The sequence below is a fragment of the Homo sapiens genome, chromosome 6, assembly GCF_000001405.40.
Source record: "Homo sapiens chromosome 6, GRCh38.p14 Primary Assembly".
NCBI lineage: Eukaryota > Metazoa > Chordata > Mammalia > Primates > Hominidae > Homo > Homo sapiens.
The window spans coordinates 7,961,040-7,982,846 of record NC_000006.12 but is presented as its reverse complement, the minus strand read 5'-3'; the positions used below and the strand labels follow the sequence as shown (position 1 = coordinate 7,982,846).

The window sequence follows — 21,807 nt, the reverse complement described above, 5'->3', positions numbered from 1 at the left end:
TTAAAGATTGTAAAATGCCAAATTAACGGGAGAAAATTATTTTAAAATACCAAGTTAATTCAAAAAGAAAGCAAAATGGAAGGGGGGAGGAGGTACAGGAGAAGGAACTAGAATAGGCAAGAGAAGCATGAAGCCTAGGAGGATGTAAACCCCAATATATCAAGACATACGTTAACTACATAGCAACTAAATGCTTTTATTAAAATATTAATAGCTGGATTTATTTATTTATTTTAATTTTTTTTTTTGAGATGGAGTTTCACGCTTGTTGCCCAGGCTAGAGTGCAACGGCATGATGTCTGCTCACCACAACCTCCGCCCTCTGGGTTCAAGCGATTCTCCTGCCTCAGCCTCCCAAGTAGTTGGGATTACAGGCATGCGCCACCACGCCCAGCTAATTTTGTATTTTTAGTAGAGATGGGGTTTCTCCGTGTTGGTCAGGCTGGTCTCGAACTCCCAACCTCAGGTGATCTGTCTGCCTTGGCCTCCCAAAGTTCTGGGATTACAGGCATGAGCCACCGTGCCCAGCCTGAATTTATTTTTAAAACAATTTTATGCTTTAGAAGAGACACATTTAAATTTTGAGAACACAGAAAGATGGAAAGTAAATGAATGGAAAAGATATAGTGTACAAACACTAATGAAAATAAAACTGGTGTAATTTAATATCACATCACAAAGATTAATATCAGAGAAAGTTCACTGAGGTAACAGGTATTCCTAGACATAAAAAGAGATACTTCATAATAATTAAATATTTACTTCAACAATAAGGTATAAGAATTCTAAATTTTCAGCAAATAACATAGCTTCCTCAATAATTGATAGAAAAAGCACTTTAAATATAGAAGCTTTGAACAAGACAATTAACAAGCTTAATTCAAATTGGCATATACAGAACAGTGTACTTACTATTACATAATGTTCATAATGCAAATAATTTTTAAGTACACAGGAATATGTATAAAACGTGATCCCATGCTGGGCCATAAAACAAGACTCAACTAATTTCAAAATGTTAAGATTATACAGAGTATGTTCTGATGACAGTAGAATTAAGCTAGAAATCATTAAGTAAAATATTACTAGAAAAAACTCAAATATACCTCTACATAAGTCCTGGGCCAAGGAGAAATCACAGCGGAGGTTAGAAGATATTGCAAACTGAAAAAGGATTACAGTATGACATTGAAATTTTGGGGATGCAACTAAATCCATGCTTCAAGGAAAATGTATGATTTTAAATAAACTTTAAGAATGTTTTAACTGTACATTTAAATTTACAAAAAATTACAAAAATAAGTTTAAAATTTAAATTTACAAAAAATAAATTTGGAAAGGAAATGCTTTAGGGAAAAACAGCAAAGTAAACCTAAAGAAAGTAGAAGAAAAGGATAAATAGATGAAATAAATTAATAAAAATAGAGAGGACTTACAAAGCCAAAAGTGGTTTCTTTGAAAAGACTAATAACATTGACAAGCTCCTGGTAAGACTGGTGCAGGAAAAAGTGATGGCATAAATAACCAGTATCAAGAATGTGGAAGGGAACATACTTCAGATCCTACAGATCTTACAATGAGAATCTTAATTATCATAAAGATAGTAAGATTTTAGACACAACTCTATGCCGGTAAATGTGAAAATGTAGAGAAATGGACAAATTCCTAGAAAAATAAAACTTAACAAAACTAAGTGAAAGAAATGGAAAATCTAAATAGTACTATAATTATTAAACTAAATATGTAATTAAAGGTCTGTCCATAAAGAAGACTCCAAGATTAAATGATTTTACCAGTGAATTCTTTCAAACATTTAAAAGAAAAATAATGGTAATTATATTGATTATTGCTGCAAAACACAGTATCCCAAAACTTAGTAACTTTAAACAACATTTATTATCTCACAGTTTCTATGGGTCAGGAATCCAGGTGTGGCCTACCCAGATGACTCTGATCCAAGGTTTTTCCACAGGGAAGCTCTTGGCTGGGGCTGCAGTCTTATCTGAAAGTTTGATTGGTAAAGTGTGTACTTCCAAGCTCACTTATGTGGTTGTTGACAGGCTTCAGTTTTTCACAGGCTGTTGACTGAAGGTGTTACTTCTTCCTTTGCTGTTGGCCAGAGACCTTACTCAGTTTCTTACCATGTGGGTCTCTCCATAAGGCTGTTCACAACATGACAGATGGCTTCCTCAGACTGAGCAAGGGATGGTGAGCACTGAAGACTGAAGCTACAGTCTTTTTGTACCCTAATCTTGAAGGTGACATCCCTTCATCCCTGATAGATTATATTCTTAGAAATGAGTCACTAAATCTGGCCCACACTAAAGGGGGGTTATTACACAAGGGCATGAATACCAGGATAATAGAATTTTTGGGATATGATCTTAGAGACTGCCTACCATAGTAATCTTACACAAATTATTCCAGAGATTAAAAGAAAAAATACATCCCAATTTGGGGTTGTATTATTATGGGACCAGAATAAGTTAGCATCAGATTATGACAATTGTATTACTAGAAAGAAAAATTATAGACAATGCCATTATGAACATAGATGCAAAAACTGAACAAAATATTAAAAAACAATGTAGTAATGCATCAAGAAAAGAATAATACATCACAAATAAGTCTGGATTATTTTATGAATCCAAGATTGGATTACCATTTGAAAATCAAATAAAAGGCCAGAAAGCCTAATAGAAATTATGAGCAACACAGATTTGAACAGGAAACTCATAAAAGAGAGTATCCAAATGGCCAATAAAAATGTTAAAAAGTTCTCAAGCTCACTAATCATGGGGAAAACAGATTAAAACCACAATGTAATACTATTACACAGACATACACACATACCACACATGCCAGAGTGTCTATAATTTAAAAGACTGATAATATCAAGTGTTGGTCAAAATCCACAGCAATGGGAACATACATAGTACAGTTGGGAGTATAAACTGGCATAACATTTTGAAAAAAATGTTTTGCATTATCTACTAAAGCTGAACAGAGCTGTGCCCAAAGACCTGGAAAATTCATTTCTAACAGAAATTGTGTCCATGTATATTATAAAACACATATAAGACTTTATAAGAGCATAATATATAAAAGCCTCAAATTGGAAATAAATATCCAACAGGAGTCAAGTAGATAAATTGTGGTGTATTCATCCAATGGAATACTATACAGCCTCCCAAAATGAACTAACTCAGCTGCCTACAATAATATAAATATATATATATAGATAGATAATATATAACATAATATTGAGTGAAAGAAGTTGAATGTAAAATTAAATATACTATATGGTTTCCTTTATATAATGCTTAAAATAGTAAAACTAATACCTGGTAGTGGTAGAAGACAAAATAGCAGCTACCTTGAAGAGATGGAAGCATGCAGGGATTGGAAGATGGGTCAAGGTGGCGCTTCTGGGGTGCTGCTAGTTTTCTAACTCTTGACGTGGGTGATAGTTACACAGGTATATTCTCTCTGGATAATTCATTGCGCTGTGCACTTTTTAAAACTATGATTATGTTTATCCAAACTCGTGTTTAATATTTACTGAACTCTATGTTAAATGCTAGAATTAGAAAAATGAATCAGAAACAGTGCTTGGCTTCCAAGAATTCAGAGTCTAACTGTGGACAATGACTTATAGACAATTCACTAACAGATTACAAGTGCTATCAAGGATTAATATACAGAATAAGATTAGGACCAGTCCTGCCTCGTGGGATCAGGGATTGGTTTTTTTTAAGGAGTCGACCTGTGAATTGGTCTCATGATTTGCCATTGTGAAAGTTGTCAGGATCAAAATGGAGTCATTTGTGTTAAAAGCCCTGACAAATAGAGCTGAGGAAGGCCATGAATGCAGGGCACTCATGCATGAATGCCTGATAACAAGAACTACCACAAAAGACTTTGCAAAAACCACAACCTTGTACAAAGGCCCTTGCAACCCTAACACACACAAAAACACTTCTGTGAAGACGTCTGCCTAGCAACTGCCTGTCTAGCCTCAGACTGGCACTATCCTTGCTATTAATCCTTGTAGCCATGGATAATTATCTCAAAACAATTATGTAATCCTCATTTTCCTTTAAAAGCCTTTTAAATTAATCTCCCTGAATTCGCACACACTTGACTATGGCGTGCATATTCCCATTACAACGCCCTATTCCCAAATAAACGTAATTGTCTTTTAGAGAGTCTCCCTCTCTGTTTGTTCTTTGGATTGGCACCTTTCAACAAGTGAAAAAGAGGGAGAGGGATGTTGTATTAGTCTGTTCTCGCATTGCTGTAAAGAAATACCTGAGACTGGGTAATTGATCAAGAAAAGAGGCTTAATTGGCCCACAGTTGCACAGAGCATGATGCTGGCATCCACTCAGCTTCTGGGGAAGCCTCAGGAAACTTACGATTATGGCAGAAGGCAAAGCGGGAGCAGGCATGTCTTACATGGCCAGAACAGGAGCAAGAGAGAGAAGGGGGAGGTGCCACACACTTTTAAACAACCAGATCTCATGAGCACTCACTATTGCAACAAAAGCACTAAGGGCCCTGTGGTGTTAAACCATGAGAAACCACCCCCATGATCCAATCACCTCCTGCCAGGCCCTACCTCCAGCATTGGGGATTACATTTCAACATGAGATTTGAGTGGGGACATGGAGCCAAACCATATCAGATGTTCTACGTAGAAAGTGCATGAAATGAACAAAGCTTAAAAATGCAGGCATGTCCACGCAGCCACTCAAAAGATAATGAGAAAACTCAATACTTTACAAATTTTGCATCAGTGCTAAAGACTGCTGAGAGGAGGGTCTGCCTCCAGTGGACATGGGTAAAAATAGAATCAGCAGAAGTTTTCCTTTCTAATCCTAAACTCCATGCCTAGTGCTATGGTCTGAATATTTGCATCCCTTTTTCTGCAATATGTGGATAGGTTTGTTTTGACATGTTGGTAATTTAAATCCCCTGAAGAGAGGGACCTCATCAGAGTGTGAGTCTTACCTCGATCAAAGTCATGTTCACTGACTGTCATACACATACTTTCAGCGAGTTTTTGGCTGGCTAGGGTAAGGTTTAGCTAGATTCTTTAGGCTTGGGTAAGGACTGCATGCTTTGATTGTAGCAGTTTTGTCATTAGTCTCTTGGTCACATGTTGCATTCACAAGTTGAAATCCTAAGCCCCTGGCCAGGAGAGGTGGCTCACACCTGTAATCCCAGCACTTTGGGAGGCCAACATGGGTGGATCACCTGAGGTCAGGAGTTCGAGACTAGCCTGCCCAACATGGTGAAACCCTGTCTCTACTGAAAATACAAAAATTAGCCAGGCATGGTGGCGCATGGCTGTAGACCTAGCTACTTGGGAGGCTGAGACAGGAGAATCGCTTAAACACAGGAGGCAGAGGTTGCAGTGACCTGAGTTCGCACCACTGCACTCCAGCCTGGCCAACAGAATGAGACTCTATCTCAAAAAAAAAAAAAAAAAAGAAAAGGAAAGAAAAACCCTAAGCCCCAAGGTGACAGTATGAGGAGGTAGGGCCTTTGGAAGATAATTAGATTACAAGGGTGGAGACCTCATGAATGGGATTAATGCCCTTATAAAAGAGAGCTGCCTTCCCCCTTCCACCACATGAGGACACAGTGAGAAGGTGCCATCTGTAAACCACAAAGCAGCCCTCACCAGATACCAAATCTGCCAGGGCCTTGATCTTGGACTTCCCAGCCTCCAGAACTGTAAGCAATAAATTTCTGTATTCTATAAGCCACCCAAATCATAGTTTCCTGTCATAGCAGCTTAAATTGACTAAGACACCTGGATCTTAGCTTCTTTAGAGTGGATTTATTTTGCATTCTGTAGTAGCTAAGCACTAACAGAAGTAAATATTTAAATTACAAAATTGTGCATATCTTTAGGGGAAAAAGTGAGCACTTCTGTGTCCCCGTTTACACTCTGCTCTCCAGATGCTGATGACGCTTCCCAAAGCACAGCAAGAAACACGCCTACTCCATGGCTTTCTGAGTTTCTGTCTGCTCACACTGCTGATGCCAGCACTGCTGTCCCCACTTGCAAGCTGGGACATCCCCTAGATAACTCTCCAAGTGAGCGGATGGTAAACTGACGTTGAGGGGAGACACTGCGGTCCTATTTTGTGCGTGCCTCTGCTGTCACATTTAACACAGGGCTGTGTAGTCATCTATTGAGGTGTCTGTCTCTCTGACTAGACTAAGGCTTGTGGTGAGGACCATCTATTCATGTTGTCCTGTTTGCCAAGCACAGTGGGAGGCAAAGGGATGCCCCACGGGTGCTTAACAGGCATTTGCTGAAACAAAGTGCAGGTGGAAAGTGGCCCTAATAGTGCAGCTGTGGCATCAGTGAAGCTGATCGTTAGTTCCATGAGGGAGTGGACTGACAAGAGGAGCATTTGTCATCCACATGAAAACACCTTTTGAGCATGAAAGTGGGTGTCACTAATACATACAGTAGGACAAAACCAGGATTTTCTGGAGGAAACAGAGGTACGGTCACCTTCTTATGACTGTCAACACAGGATTATTACAAGGTGTCTGTGAGTCACCCTAGGAAGTCCTGTGTCCCTTGCGTTCCATCCAGAGCAAGCTTAGGGAACACTCTTGTGCATTTGGGATCTCTGGAAGCAAAAGTTGCCCTGGGACTAGAGTTGGCTTCCTCCACCTGCATTTCCCCAAGAATCCTAATGGCGACACACTGTGTTTTCAACAGTTGAGCTCCCGCCTCATGTGGAATCTGTGGGTTCCTGCTAAATCACCAGAGTGAGGTGTTGGTGCACCTGGTGTGAGCCATCACAGTGACCCACGCAGGTGCTGAGAGGCAGGGCTTTGCTGCTGCTTGGTTGCTGTGGCCAGTGTTTACTTGACAGCACCACGCTGTGCTTGCAGGGAACACATGTGTGGTACAGCATGCTCTCCCTCTGCCCTGGTCTTCTGCTTCAGAGACAGGACCTTCCCCAGAGCAGGGTTTCCATCCTGCTTCTCTGTCTACATTAGGGGAAAGCTTGCTGTTTTTTATCTCACTCCGGGAACTGCCGAGCCACCGTCGGGGTGGTTTCCCTGATGGCATGGGGATAAGTTCAGGAGACAATAAACCTCTTGGTAGACAGAAGACTTCCTAAAATATGTAGTCTGACAAAAAGGGAGATGAATGACAAAGATATAAATTTGCAATGAAAGAAAACAGTACCCCCAGCACCAAAAAATACTTTCCGTGCTATGTAAGTTATGCATAAACACTACAGCCGATTCACATTTGATAAACTATTAACTTCCCCATTTCTTTGATAGGAAGGCTGTGGAGTGAGATAAAGCAGGATTGCACCATGGAGGACAAACATCTCGGCATCCAGTACACTTCAAAATGTTTCTTTTTTTTTGTTTTCAAGACTGGCTGCTATTTCCTCCATGCCTCTTGTTTATTAGCGTGTTGACTCATCTAGAGCCCAGCGCCTTGTTCCACACCAGAGAGATGGACTTGTGCCTCTGCCAAGTGGAGTCGGCTCGAGAGATAACAGCCAGCCACAACAATGGTCTTCCTCAGTCCCTCGGCCAAAAAGACCTTTGGCACAGTGAGCTGAGAATGACTCATCCCCAGTGCCCTGGAAGGCTCCGAAGTTCTGGGAGCACGGAGTGGTTGTTTGCCAGACAGAGATAACAGGCAGGATGCCGCAGAGAGCCAGACGTGCTCCGAACTCAGGGCCCCACCTGGCAGACGCAGAAAAGGAAAAAGGGATGAAGCAGCCAGTTAGCACATGGTTTCCCGGTTGCCCAGTCCATGCCGTCAACACCATCCAACATTCTGAGGTTTGCCAAAAGGATCTCGTTTACTCCTGGGTCACGTAAAGAGTACTTAACTTTTCCCCCCACTCCTTGCCGTCGTCTTAAGAGTACTTAACTTTTTTAAAAAGACTAATGCAATCAACTCATCTTGAAGAGTTTGCTCACTTTCCATTGCCCTTGGAAAAAAAAAATGCATGATTATCTGACAGGATGAGGGTTTGATTGTCACATAAGTCATTCTCTCGATGGTTGACACATCCTTGACTCTCAAAGGATGGCGTTGATAACCTAGAGAGGCAACTGAGAATAGCCTAGGACTGGACCTGCTTGTTCTGAGCTGCCTAAAGAGCCTCTGAAACTAGTGTTAACTGTTCCACTCACTAACCTTGCCTTTATGAGGTAGGAGGTGGGACTCAACTCTGGAGACGGGGCTCAGACACTGGACCAAATTAAGGACTAGCTACAACAGGACCAGGGTGGAAGCAGCTTTCCATAAGGCGTGCCCACCAGTGTGCCATGTCAGTTTACCATTGCCATGTCAACACCCGGGCGTTATCGCTCCTTTCCATGGCAATGATCCGATGACCCAAAAGTTACTAACCCTTTCCTAGAAATTTCTGCATAAACCATCCCTTAGTCTGTATATAATTAAAAGTGGGTATAAATACGACTGCAAAGCTGCCCTGAGCTGCTCCTCTCTGCTTATGGGGTTGCCCAGATCTGCAGGAGCAGTCATGGAGGTATAACACTGCTGCTTCAGTTAAGCTGTTTTTGTCTACCTCCAGCATGCCCTTGAATTCTTTCCTGGGCAAAGCCAAGAACCCTCGTGGGCTAAGTCCCACTTTGGGGCTCACCTGCCCTGCACCATTTAGATGTAGAGATGGCTACACTGCTTTGCAGGCTTCTTTAGCCCAAGTCATTAGATGCACAGGTAGCCATCACCTTTGAAAGATTCTGTTGTAAACTTGTGATAAAAATGCCTTTCATGGTCTCATAGACATTTTTTATAATAACTAAAATAGTGATTGTTTTCATTACAAGCTCAGTATTGTACTATAAATCACTTAACTGCTGAAGTACAATGTAAGTCCTGAATGGCAATGTCAGTGTTATTAACCATTATTAACTCAAGGACAGTGGGGAGTAAGGAAGATGAGTTCTGTTTCATCATTTTCCAAAGTCACAGAGCTTGTTCTTCAACAGTGACTCAAAGCAAATGCCATAGCCTGCTTTGTTATAAGAATTTTGATACATAGTTAATATTTACATAATGACTTACAATTCAACATGAAAGCTCCCATGTCAGTACTAAGTAACTTAATTACACCATTTATAAATACAGTACTGTCGGCCCTCCCTACCCTTAGGCTTCCCACCTGCAGATTCAACCAACTGTGGATCAAAAATATTCAGAAAAGGCCAGGCGCAGTGGCTCATGCCTGTAATCCCAGCACTTTGGGAGGCCGAGGTGAGCGAATCACGAGGTCAGGAGTTCAAGACCAACCTGGCCTACACGGTGAAACCTTGTCTCTACTAAAAATACAAAAATTAGCCTGGCATGGTGATGCGTGCCTGTAATCCCAGCTACTTGGGAGGCTGAGGCAGGAGAATTTCTTGAACCTGGGAGGTGGAGGTTGCAGTAAGCTGAGATTGCGCCATTGCATTCCAGCCTGGGCGACAGAGCAAGACTCTGTCTGGAGAAGAAAAAAAATTTCAGAAAAAAACAATTAAAAATAACAATACAACAACAAATAATAACACATATAAGAATCAATGCAGCATAACAACTATTTGCGTAGCATTTAGATTGTATTAAGTATTAAAAGTAATCTAGAGATTTTTAATGGATATCAGGAGGATGTGCATAGATTTTATGCAAATATGGTGCCATTTTCTCTAAGGGATTTGAACATCCACAGATTTTGGTATCCACTGGAGGTCCTGGAACCAATCCCCCACCGACACCAAGGGACGGCTATATATTTTTTCCCTTGACCTAACACCTACTCACTTTTGGACAGCATTATAAAATAATCAGCATCATCTCCAGAAGTATTTATCAGGCATCTATCATGGTATTGTATTAATTAGGTCATCTACTGAAAGGCAGAATGTTCTTCACTTCAGATTTTACAACACCCTTTTTTCATAATACGTGGATAGGTTTGTTTTTAAATGTTGGTGACTTAAACCTCCTGAAGAGAGGGACCTCATCAGAGTGGAAGTCTTACTTCGATCAAAGCCCGATCATACAACCTATTTTCAGCATGTTTCTAGCAAGTTAAGGCGAAGCTTAGCTAGATTGCTTAGGCTTGGGTAAGGACCGCACACTTTGCTTGTAGCGTTCTTAGTCTCTTGGTCTAAGCAAGGCTGTGATTCACCATCTGAACTCAATAGCGCCGTTTCTTGCACTGGGTGGTTTGCTAAATTCACATAGATAACCCAAAGAAAGTTCAAGATCAGAAAGAGAGAAGATTGACTTACTTGTTATGAGGGAATTTTCATTCACAGAGCCATAAAAATATAATCATGAATTTTGTGGATACTGCGTCCTTTGGGCCAGCCATCTAGGGTACAGATGGGACGTGATGCCATTGTCTAGAAGCCCTAGGGTTGCAGGTGGCTGCTGGCAAAGCGACCCACCATCCATCCCTTGCTGCATCGGGATCAGGGGCCGTTCCATGAGCTGCTGCCCTGAGAGGCCTCGGTGTTTCTGTTCTTTGCCACCCGCTTCTGTATGTGAATCACTCTGAGTATTTACATCCTTTGACATTATTCCTGTTTCCCCGTATTTTCATGTCCATTAAGCTGATACTGTATAGGCTTGATGACGGTGTCTTTTTCTCAGTGATTTTCTCCACACAGTAAAATGGTGCCCAATGGGAGAATAAAGTCTCCTTGCTCCATAGAAGGCCTGCACTTTACATGTATATATGAGAAAAAGCTGGTTTCTGTTAGTCTATAATGTATTAAGATGTGGTTAGTGAAAAACTGCCTTCCAAAATTCAGTTAATATAGAAAATTAAGTATTTTTAAAAATTTTTCAGACTGCTTATTGTAGAATGAAATTGGCCCTTGTCTTATCTCAGCCACTTTACCCCCAATCTGGACATTTTATTATAAATACAGTTCTGCTTTCAGACCATCATATTTTTGGAAAAGAAAATTGTGTAAGGTAAAAGTGATTACATTCAACACATTTAAGGCAAATCATCTGAAAGTTAAAAAGAAGTAAAGACAATCTGAATTCCTACCATATTACTGTATTTTCTGAAATATAAGGTGCACTCAATTTTTTTACATGCTCCCTTTGCTGAAGCGGAATAATATCTTACAGTGGATATTTATACTTCACTGTATAAATATCCCTGACTTATGATGGTTCAATTTAATGATTTTTCAATTTTACAGTGGTGTGAAAGTGATATGCATTCAGTGGAAACTGTACTTCAAATTTTGAAGTTTGCTCTTTCCCTGGACTAGCAATACCATATTCTGTAGAGTATTCAGTACGGTAATCTCTCTGGATGCTGGGCAGCACCAGTGAGCTACAGCTACCAATCAGCCATGCAATCACAAGGCTAAACAACTAATACTCAACAGTGTATTGCATTGCCAGAAGATTTTTGCCCAACTGTAGGATAAGGTAAGTATTTGGACATGCTTAAGGTAGGCTACGCCAAGCTATGATGTTTGGTAGGTTAGGTGTATTAAATGCATTTTCAACATCTGGTATTTTCAACTTACTATGGGTTTATTGGGATGTAACCCCATTGTAAGTCGAGGAGCATCTGTATTTCATGAGCAGGTGTTCCTTTTCTCCCCAGCTCCCCCAAAGTCTGTCATCATCTTAAAATTAGTGACATCTTAAAATTAAAGGAATAAAGAGTTTCAAGAATTAAACAGAGATGTAATTTTTCTAGATTTCCTCAGAGCCTGTAATTTCACATATTAAAGTTTAAAGATTAGATTTTTTTTAGTTTTGATTAAGTGGCTGTGATACATATACTTAATGTCACATACAAGAGTGATCATCCTACTCTACATTTCTTGAATAAGGTGTAAGCAAAATTATTATCCATTATAACATTTAGAATTCCTTAATTACTGACAGTTAATGACTCAGAATGGTAAGAAATAAAATATAAAATTCAATAATGTTCCCACTTGAAGGTAGGCCTCTGAAATTCCCTATATATCCTGGCAACTATTGTGTAATGCATATGTGCATATACAAGCAATGTGTACAGGCTCTTTGCATTAGGCCATTCTTGCATTGCTATGAAGAAATAACTGATCCTGGGTAATTTTATAAAGAAAAGAAGTGTATTGGCTTATGGTTGTGCAGGCCGTACAGGAAGCGTGGCACCGGGCATCTGCTCAGCTTCTGGGGAAACTTCAGGAAGCTTACAGTGATGGTGGAAGGTGAAGGGGGAGCAGGCATCTCACATGGTAAGAGTGGGAGCTCAGGAGACCACTATACTTATGATTACAGTCTCATTATAAAGGATACAACTCAAGATCAGCCAAATGGAAGAGACTTATAGAGTAAGGTCTGGGAAGGTCCCAGATGGAGAGTGTCCATGCCCTCCTCCATGGAATCTGAGCACATCACCCTCCCAGGATATCACTGAGTTGTTCACCAACCAGGAAGCTCTACTGAGCCTCGGTGTCCAGAGATTTTACTGGGGCCTTATCATATAGACATGATTGATTAAATCACTGGCCACAAGATTGAACTCAGTCTCTACCTGTCCCCTCCTCTCCCTGGAGGTTGGACTGGCTAAGAATTCCAACACTGTAATCACACAGTTGGTCTTTCTGGTGACCAGCCCCCATCTTGAAGCTACCTAGGGGCCACCATGGATCACCTCATTAGCATAATAATTCCTGTCATTCAGGAAGTTCCAAGGGCTTTTGAAGTTCTGCCCCAGGAACAGGGAATGAAAACTAGATCTATGGTCTCCATTATACCACATTATACAGATTTTGTATAAGGTTCTTATTAGTGGCTCTAACTCTTACCTTTCTACTGGCTTACTTACAGGCTACTGCAATCTTGCAGCATATCTTGCTATCATCTGAACTTCAGCAAATTTCAAGTTATGCTTAGTGTCATGTCCCAAATTAGCTTCCCCAGTTCCCCATGATCAATAAAAACCACTGCCCTCCTGGACATTAGAGCTCCAAGTTTTAGATTAACCCTTGACTCTCTCTTCTTATTAAGATTTTCTATAAATCTTGTCTGACTGCTGACTGCATTATTTAGATTACTTTCTAACCTTTTTGAACATACTTCTGCTTAAAAAGTGTTAAAAGTCCCAAAGCAAACAAAGCAGTTAGAATCTGGGTCATGTTAAGCTCTATATACTTCTTTACTTGTCCTTTCTCCCAGAGATTCCAGTATGTCAAGAATTTCTGGGCTAGATTATGGTTGAATTGCAAATACAAATTTAGTCATCCTCAGCCCTCCTGAATCTAAGATCACCAGTAGTAGTGTTTGAGGGAACTGCTCCCTGGGTCCTCAACAAACTGCCACTAGATATCTTGCAAAGCAGGTTTTTGCATTTAAACCTGGAGGGTGGCTGGGTAGCATGGGAGTGGCAGGAAGACTTGGCAGGCAGTAGGTGGTTGCAGGTTACAAACAAGCTGATCTCTTTTTTCCTTTTCTTTTCTTTCTTTTTTTTCTTTGTTCATCTATTCCATACATCCCTCAAAGCAACATTTCCTGGCCTACTTCTTTAGTGCATCCATTCACTCATTTGAGCCTTTGTTTATTCATTTATCCAGTCTCGAGTGCCTCTTCCAGGCCAGGTACTGTTCTAGCATCAGGACAGAGCAGTGTTTAACAAAACATGGCACCCATCCTCTGCAAAATCCCAGCCTAGAGGCTGAGGCAACAGATAAGTAAACAGATATACAAGATAACTTTAGATTGTGATAAAGGCTATAAAAACAATGTTAGGCTAAGGTGATAGAGAATGATGGGAGGCGGTGTGTAGCTTAGATCGGAAAGAAAAGGCCTCTCTGAGGAGGCAGCATTAGATCTTAAGTCAAGTTCTGAAATCAGAGAAATTGGGCCAAAATTTGTCCAGCTTGAGTTTGCTATTCACATCAGGAAAGCCTTCTGCCCTGAGAGCCCTGACATCCTTTCTGGGGGCCAGTGTGATAAGACCACATGATCAAGTTACTACATCCTCCCCTTATATGGCCCCCAGAAGCTCTTTTGGGGACACTGGTCCCCTGAGTGTCCCCAGAAGAGCTTCTGGGGGCCATACGAGTTTCCTGCTGAAGTGATAGCTCAGGACTGAGCCTTTTTGATGCTGCTCCTTTACATTCCACAGCTCAGCCTCTCACTGCCTCCCTTTCCCTCTCCCTCCCCTTCTCTCTCGCTTCCTAACTAAACCTCCCTCTGTTTATGTAGGGTGGTGAGTGAGTCTCTTTTTATGGCACACAGGTCACAGGCAGCCTGGCTGCCCTCCGTGAGGCCTTCTGCTTTCGGGCATCTTGGTGGGGAGCACACCAGCACCGCAGTGACAGTGACCTGGGAAGAATGCTGGGGGGCCAGGAGCGCTCCGCAGGCATTTGCTGCTTTTTTATAAGCAGCCTCTAGGTGACTGAATGCCTTACTATTAAGTCATGCAAGGGGAAAATAATCACTTTCGGGCTGACACCAAATATGAGTATGTTCAGCACCAAAGGCACCTTGCTCAGAATATTTTATAAACAGATTTTTTTTAAGTCTCAACTGTGGCTTAAAGATACACTTTTGTCGTAGTCCTTAATAGTAACTCATCTGAAATACACGTACGTCCATTTCTAGTCATCTGCATTGATACATCAGAATAATGTGTTTAATCCAACTTAATTTAATAGATTATAAAATACTTGTATGCAAATGTTTTTGTCTAGAAGTTCCAAAATTTCATTCTCACTTCCTGTTCTGTTCCTTCCACTCACCTTGTGCTCACCACTCCCCATGCCATACCGGGCCATCACTTCGTATGGCCTGGCAAGACTGTCTCTCCCATCTTCCCCATCTCACTTGTTACACTGAAAAATGGAAGTGGAGAGAAATAGAAATATACAGAGCATTCCCAGGGGCGTATCCTAAGGATAAGCTGGGATTCCTTTCAGGTGTTTCTCCTTCAAGCTCCTGCCAAACTGATAGCTATACCCCGATGAATTCACACAGGAAGTTAGAAAGTCAACAGGAATTGCCTCCCAAGCCAGAACACTACCCTAGCTATACTACTAGGGTATCGCCTGCTCTATAAAGACTTCATTAACCACTCATCAGGAATAGCCTGCTCGTAGATAATGAAAAGTTGCCTGTAGAAAACGTATTACACTCAAGAGAATAGTATCAGTGCAAGAAGTAGAAATAAACAAGCCAGCAATTCCCAAGACTGCTCTATCAACAGGGACTTAAGGCTCCGGGTAGAGCCCCCCACCAGTGTTGCAGGTTCATTCACTCCTGGGGCTCCTGGTTCCAATGTTGGACACTTCTGGCTATTAGAGAGTTCTTTCTTTTATTGGGCTGAAATTTCTCTCTATGCACTGGAAATATTTGTGCGCCTGATGGGAGGCATAGCGAGTAGAGAGGCTACAGAATCTTTCATGTGTCATATCCCTAGATGGAACACACTGATTTCAGTGAAGATTTTTATATCAAGTTTTTTCAAATTCCCTCACCAACCTGCTTGTCCTCCTTCTGAATTCTAATTTGTCTCTGTCTCTCAAATTGTGATGCTCCAACCCTCTTCTTTCAGTGCCCTCTCATTTGCTTTCAACCTCCCTCTTCCCTTCAATCCTGATCCCTTTTGGCCCCTTTTCCTCTGATGGGAATACTGGGATGGTATCCACTAGGTGATACTCCCACCTGAGAAGTTTAGCTGTATGGTACTCCTGTTATGTATTCCTAAAGACATTGATGGTGCGTGTGTGGATCTGAATATATATATTTGATGGGGGGTGGTAATTCCTGTGTATTTTTCTCTGTACTTGCAAACTCAGGAAGGGCAGGCATAGGACTGTACTAGGAGTATCTGCCTTCCCAGACAGAACTCATCCAAATGTCCCGAGACAACAGTAATAGCATTACATATTTATGTTGAGGGCTTATTTAATAACAGCCACTGTTTTTCTGGTGGCGGGGGGTTGGACAGAGTCTCGCTCTGTCACCCAGGCTGGAGTGCAGTGGCATGATCTTGGCTCACTGCAACCTCCACCTCCCAGTTTCAAGAGATTCTCCTGCCCCAGCCTCCTGAGTAGCTGGGATTACAGGTGCCCACCACCAAGCCTGGCTAATTTTTGTATTTTCAGTAGAGGCGGGGTCTCACCATGTTGGCCAGGCTAGTGTCGAACTCCTGATCTCAAATGATCCACCCACCTCGGCCTCCCAAAGTGCTGGGATTACAGGTGTGAGCCACCACACCTGGCCAACAGCCACTGTTTTAAAAGCATTACATAGGTTTTCTCATTTAATTTAGCCCTCACAAACTTACAAAGTAGGAAGCTACAGCTCAGAATGATTTCATAGCTGGCCCAAGGCCGTGCAGCCAGTATGGTGGACCCAGTATTAGAATCCACCTTCCCAGCCACCGTGACATCCTGCAGCCACGTTTTTGGTTTTTATTATGGTGTTAATCTTAGTAAGTTTGGGTGCTACAACAAAATGCCATAAACTGGGTGGCTTATAAACAACACAAATTTATTTCTCACAGTTCTGGAGGCTGGAAGTCCAAGGTCAAGGGACTAGCAGATTGAGTGTCTGGTGAGAGTAGTGTTTGCAGATGGTGGCTTTTTGCTGTGCCCTCATACGATACAAGGGCAAACAAGCCCCCTCTTCTGTAAGGGCCCTAGTCTCATTCATGAGGGCACTAATCCCCCTCATGACCTAATCACCTCTTAATGCCATCACACTGGGGATTAGGCTTCAACACAGGAATTTTGGGGGCACACAAATGTTCAGACCATAGCAGGTGCCTAATATAAATTATTTGTGGATTTACTAATAGTTAAAATAACCAAAACCTAACCTGTCTTCCAGTTTTATCCATTTTGAGTATCTGAAAAATTTTAAGCAAAGACTCAAAATGTTTTTAAAGTCAATATATCAAGTGAAAATCTGTGGATGTGGCTATATGAAGGTGTGTACTTATATTCTTCATGCTTGCGCTCTTAACACGGTTTGCACTGTAATTAATATAAGCACATCAAAATTGTGTACATGTCTTTCCTACACAATGAGCTGCAACAGAATGGCTGCTTTTTGTGTTTTTAAATAAACTTTATTGAGGTATAATTTATGTACAATAAGATGTGTACACTTAAGAGTTTGATGAGTATTGACAAATGTATAAATCCACGTACCAGCACCCTAGTCGAGGTACAGAACATTTCCATCCATCCAGAAAGCTGCTAGAAGTAGAATCATGCATACGTAAGTGGAATCTTTGTATCTGACCTCTTTCACTCAGCCTGTTTTTGAGATTCATCTATGTTGTTCTGTATATCAACAGTTCTTTTATTGTTATTGCTGAGTAGCATCTTATTACTGTATGAACATACCACAACTTGTGTATTCATTCACTCACTGATAGATGTTTGAGTTGTTTCCCACCTTTTGGCTATTTTGAATTAAGCTGCTGTGAATATTCATAGACAAGTCTTTTGTGGATGTGTTTTCATCTCTTTTTTGCAAAATCCTGGGGGCAGATTTGCTAAATGATATGTTAAGTGCATCCTTAACTTTGTAAGAAACTGCCAAACGTTTCCAAAATGGATGTTTTATTTTATATCCCCACCAGTGGTACAGGAGAGTTTCAGTTGCTCCACATCCTTGCCAACACTTGGTATTGGTAGTCTTTCTTTTTTTTAAGTATCAAGTATGCACTGAAAGATACATCAACATTAATACAGAAGAAACAGAGTCAAATCATTTAATCGAAATAATATAATAATATAATTCTGGCCGGGTGCGGTGGCTCACACCTGTAATCCCAGCACTTTGGGAGGCCGAGGTGGGTGGATCACAAGGTCAGGAGATCGAGACCATCCCGGCCAAAACGGTGAAACCCCGTCTCTACTAAAAATACAAAAAAATTAGCCAGGTGTGGTGGCACACGCCTGTAGTCCCAGCTACTCGGAAGGCTGAGGCAGGAGAATAGTGTGAACCTGGGAGGCAGAGCTTGCAGTAGGCCGAGATCGCGCCACTGCACTCCAGCCTGGGCAACAGAGTGAGACTCCAACTCAAAAAATAATAATAATAATAATAATATAATTATACATCTCGGGAAATTGAGAGCTGGAAACTTGGCAGGGGCTTCCACATTATGGAACAATTTCTATAGCTGCAATGAACTTAAAAAAAATACACTTAAACATTTATAAATGTATGCTTTGCCTGGAAGGAGTCTGGCAAAAACAACAAATAATCTTAAATGTATACATTTCATAAAAGTGCTAATGATTTTTCCCAACGCTTCCCATTCACCTTCACCCTACAGAGAGTTCTGACTTGGCTCATTTAATTTCTTCCCTTCCTCAGTCACTCAAAAGTGTTCTTCCATTTCTTGGTCACTTATTTGGACTTTTTTGATGTCCAGGCTGTAGGAAAAGCAGTTTATTTGAGAGGTAAAAGTGGCATTTGGGCTAGAGCTTGGTTAGAGCTAATTCTGAGAATGTTCTAGAAAGAGTTATCAGAGTAGTTGTTAAGTATGAAAAAAGCAGACAGCAGAAAATTATTGTGGCAGACTATATACATTACCTTCTCATCATAAAAACAAAGCACTCATTGTTTTTACTGAATTGCCTGGTGGTAGATGGGGTGTGTTCTTAACTAAGCACTGCCTTGACAAGACAGAGGGATGTGGTGCCATCATCTTTTCAATAGGAAATGTATATGTGCATATATTTGTGTATATGTATTTTTCCTATATTGATTGCTTATATACATATTCACATCCTTATACATATCTATGTTTTATAACTTGAACCTTGTTTTTTTAACTTTATTGAGGTATAATTTATAAAAAATTATATAATTCAAGTTGTACAACATGATTTTTGATACATGTATACATTGTGAAATGATTATCACAAGCTAATTAACATATTCATCACCTCAGATAGTTACCTTTTTGGGGGTGTGTGTGTGCGTGCGTGCTCGTGCAGTGAGAATACTTAAGACCTCCTCTCTTAGCAAATTACGGGCATATAATGCATTATTATTAACTACAGTTACTGTGCTGTACATTAGGTCTCTAGAACTTGCTTTGTTTTTTTGGGATAGAGTCACTGGAGTGCAGTGACGTGATCTTGTGATCTTGGCTCACTGCAACCTTCGCCTCCTGGGTTCAAGCGATTCTCTGCCTCAGCCTCCCACGTAGCTGGGATTACAGGCGTGCACCACTATACCCAGCTAATTTTTGTATTTTTAGTAGAGATGGGGTTTCACCATGTTGGTCAGGCTGATCTTGAACTCCTGGTTTCAGGTGATCTGCCTGCCTTGGCCTCCCAAAGTGCTGGGATTGCAGGTGTGAGCCACTGCACCTGGCCAACTTACTCATTTTGTAAGTGAAACTCTGTACCCTTTGACCAACATCTCCCCATTTCCCCACCCACAACTCCTGCCAACCACCATTCTCCTCTCTGTTTCTATGAGTTGGTTTTTGTTTTAGATTCTGTATATAAATGAGATTATTAGTAGTCTTTTTATTTTTAGCTGTTCTCGGTTCGGTATAATGGTATCTCTTTGTGGTTTTAAGTTGCATTTCTCTGATGACTAAAGATAGTGAGCATCTTTTCATGTTATTTTTGGTCATTTGTACATTTCGGGGGGTAGTGCCGATCTCTTTAGTTTATGGGCTGTGTGGTTGTGTGTTGTTTGTTCCATCGTTGAATAGTAAGAGTTATTTATATTTTCTAAATTTAAGTGCTTTGCCAGACTCATTAATTACAAATATTTTCTCCTGGTTGATGGCTTGCCTTTTAATTTTCTCAACAATTAGTTCATGTTTTAAAAAGTTGTACTGAGCAAAATTTAGCCAGGCATGGTGGCAAGTACCTGTAGTCCCAGCTATTGGGGAGTTTGAAGGGGAGGATCAATTGAGCCGGGAGGCAGAGGTTGCAGTGAGCCATGATGGCATCACTGCACTCCAGCCTGGGTGACCGCGCGAGACCCTGTCTCAAAAAAAAAAAAAAGTATTTAGTTGCCAATTCTTTATTTCCAATTCTTCATTGCAACTTTATTGACACATAGTTGACCACAATAAATTACATATGTTTAAGGTGTACAATTTGATGAGTTTTGACATGTATACACCATTGAAGCCATCATCACAATCAAGATAATGCACATTTCCTTCAGCTCCCCAAAAAACAGTTTATTTTGAAGAGCAAAAGTTTTTAATTTTGATGAAGTCCAATTTATCAAATTTTTCTTTTATGGTAAGTGATTTTTATGTTATTTTTGGGAAATCTGTGAAAATCTTTGCCTCAAGGAGCAAAATTTGTCTCCTATAATTTTACTTACATTTTCTCATATTTTTTCTAAATAATTGTAACTATAGTGTTAATTTTCTCCTTTAACCACTTATTGAGTTTTTAAACATTTTCTAAATAGCTTTTTAACCAAAAATTTTTAATTAGCTTTTAATTTTTTAAGTTATGATGAAATAATGTGTACTTTTAATTATATTTTTCATTTTTATATGTATTTCTTATATATTCAATCTGTATTTTTTGATGAATTGAGCCGTCAAGGCTAATACAGGGATGTTGAAGTGTCTCCCTTTCTCTCTTTATCCCGTTACCCTGTGTCGTGAGTTCCATCGCCGTGGTTCTTTCTAATTTGGTTTTGAGGTCTCCACTTTTGAGAGTGGCCAAAACCTGGCCGGGCGCGGTGGCTCACACCTGTAATTCCAGCACTTTGGGAGGCCGAGGTGGGCGGATCACGAGGTCAAGAGATCCAGACCATCCTGGCTAACACGGTGAAAACCCGTCTCTACCAAAAACACAAAAATTTAGCCGGGCGTGGTGGCGGGCGCCTGTAGTCCCAGCTACTCGGGAGGCTGAGGCAGGAGAATGGCGTGAACCCGGGAGGCGGAGGCTGCAGTGAGCCGAGATCGCGCCGCTGCACTCCAGCCTGGGTGACAGAGCGAGACTGCGGCACACACACACACACACACACACACACACACACACACGCCAAAAACCAAGAAGCCACTCTCTGGGAGAGCCCTAACAGCGTGGGGTGGGGGAGCTAGGTTCACCTGTGTCCATCAAGTGAGACAAAATGAGGGAATGAAACCAAAATGGCTGAAACAGAAGAACTGTATAACTTACAGATCCCGGAAAGGTCAGAGCTGCCAACAGGAGGCTAAGGAAAAGTCCAGGGGTGTCAGAGAGCTCAACCAGGGAGAGGGAGTGGGGAGTAAGGGAGAGAGGGGAGAGCGAGAGAGAGAGAGGACCTGTGGGATTATGCCTTTATTAAGATCCGTGGACCTTATCCCTTAGGGTTTCCCATGGGGGTTGTGGATTGGCTAATTTAAAAAAACGTGTGGTTGGGCACGGCGACTCATGCCTCTAATCCCAGCACTTTGTGAGACCGAGGCTGGTGGATCACTTGGGGTCAGGAGTTCGAGATCAGCCTGGCTAACAAAGTGAAACCCCGTCTCTACTAAAAATACCAAAAAAAAAAAAAAAAATAGTAGCGCGTGGTGGTGCACGCCTGTAATCCCAGCTACTTGGGAGGCTGAGGCAGATGAATTGCTTGAACCTGGGAGGCGGAAGTTGCAGTGAGCCGAGATTGCAGCACTGCATTCCAGCCTGGGTGACAGAGCCAGACTCCATCTCAAAAAACAAACAAACAAATTAATTAATTAGTTAAATTTAAAAATGTGCAAAAGGGGGAACTTACATCACTCTGGTGTTGATCATTAGGTTTTACTGTGGTCAGCAGCTGTGGGGTGAAGAGCAAGCAGGC

At 41.2% G+C, this 21,807-nt stretch overlaps 1 long non-coding RNA gene across 1 annotated transcript in view, besides 2 other annotated features; it reads left to right on the top strand.

Annotated features, from left to right (window-relative positions):
• The window catches only part of BLOC1S5-TXNDC5 (BLOC1S5-TXNDC5 readthrough (NMD candidate)), a 183,165-nt gene that overhangs the window by 81,568 nt on the left and 79,790 nt on the right, over window positions 1-21,807 (top strand). The window lies entirely within an intron of this gene.
• Window positions 6,801-6,930: a silencer, noted in NCBI's record as "silent region_16894". NCBI's record gives its function as "represses an Ori minimal core promoter by ATAC-STARR-seq in GM12878 lymphoblastoid cells {active_cell/tissue: GM12878}" and the evidence as "EXISTENCE:reporter gene assay evidence [ECO:0000049][PMID:35858748]".
• Window positions 19,116-19,165: an enhancer, noted in NCBI's record as "active region_23954". NCBI's record gives its function as "activates an Ori minimal core promoter by ATAC-STARR-seq in GM12878 lymphoblastoid cells {active_cell/tissue: GM12878}" and the evidence as "EXISTENCE:reporter gene assay evidence [ECO:0000049][PMID:35858748]".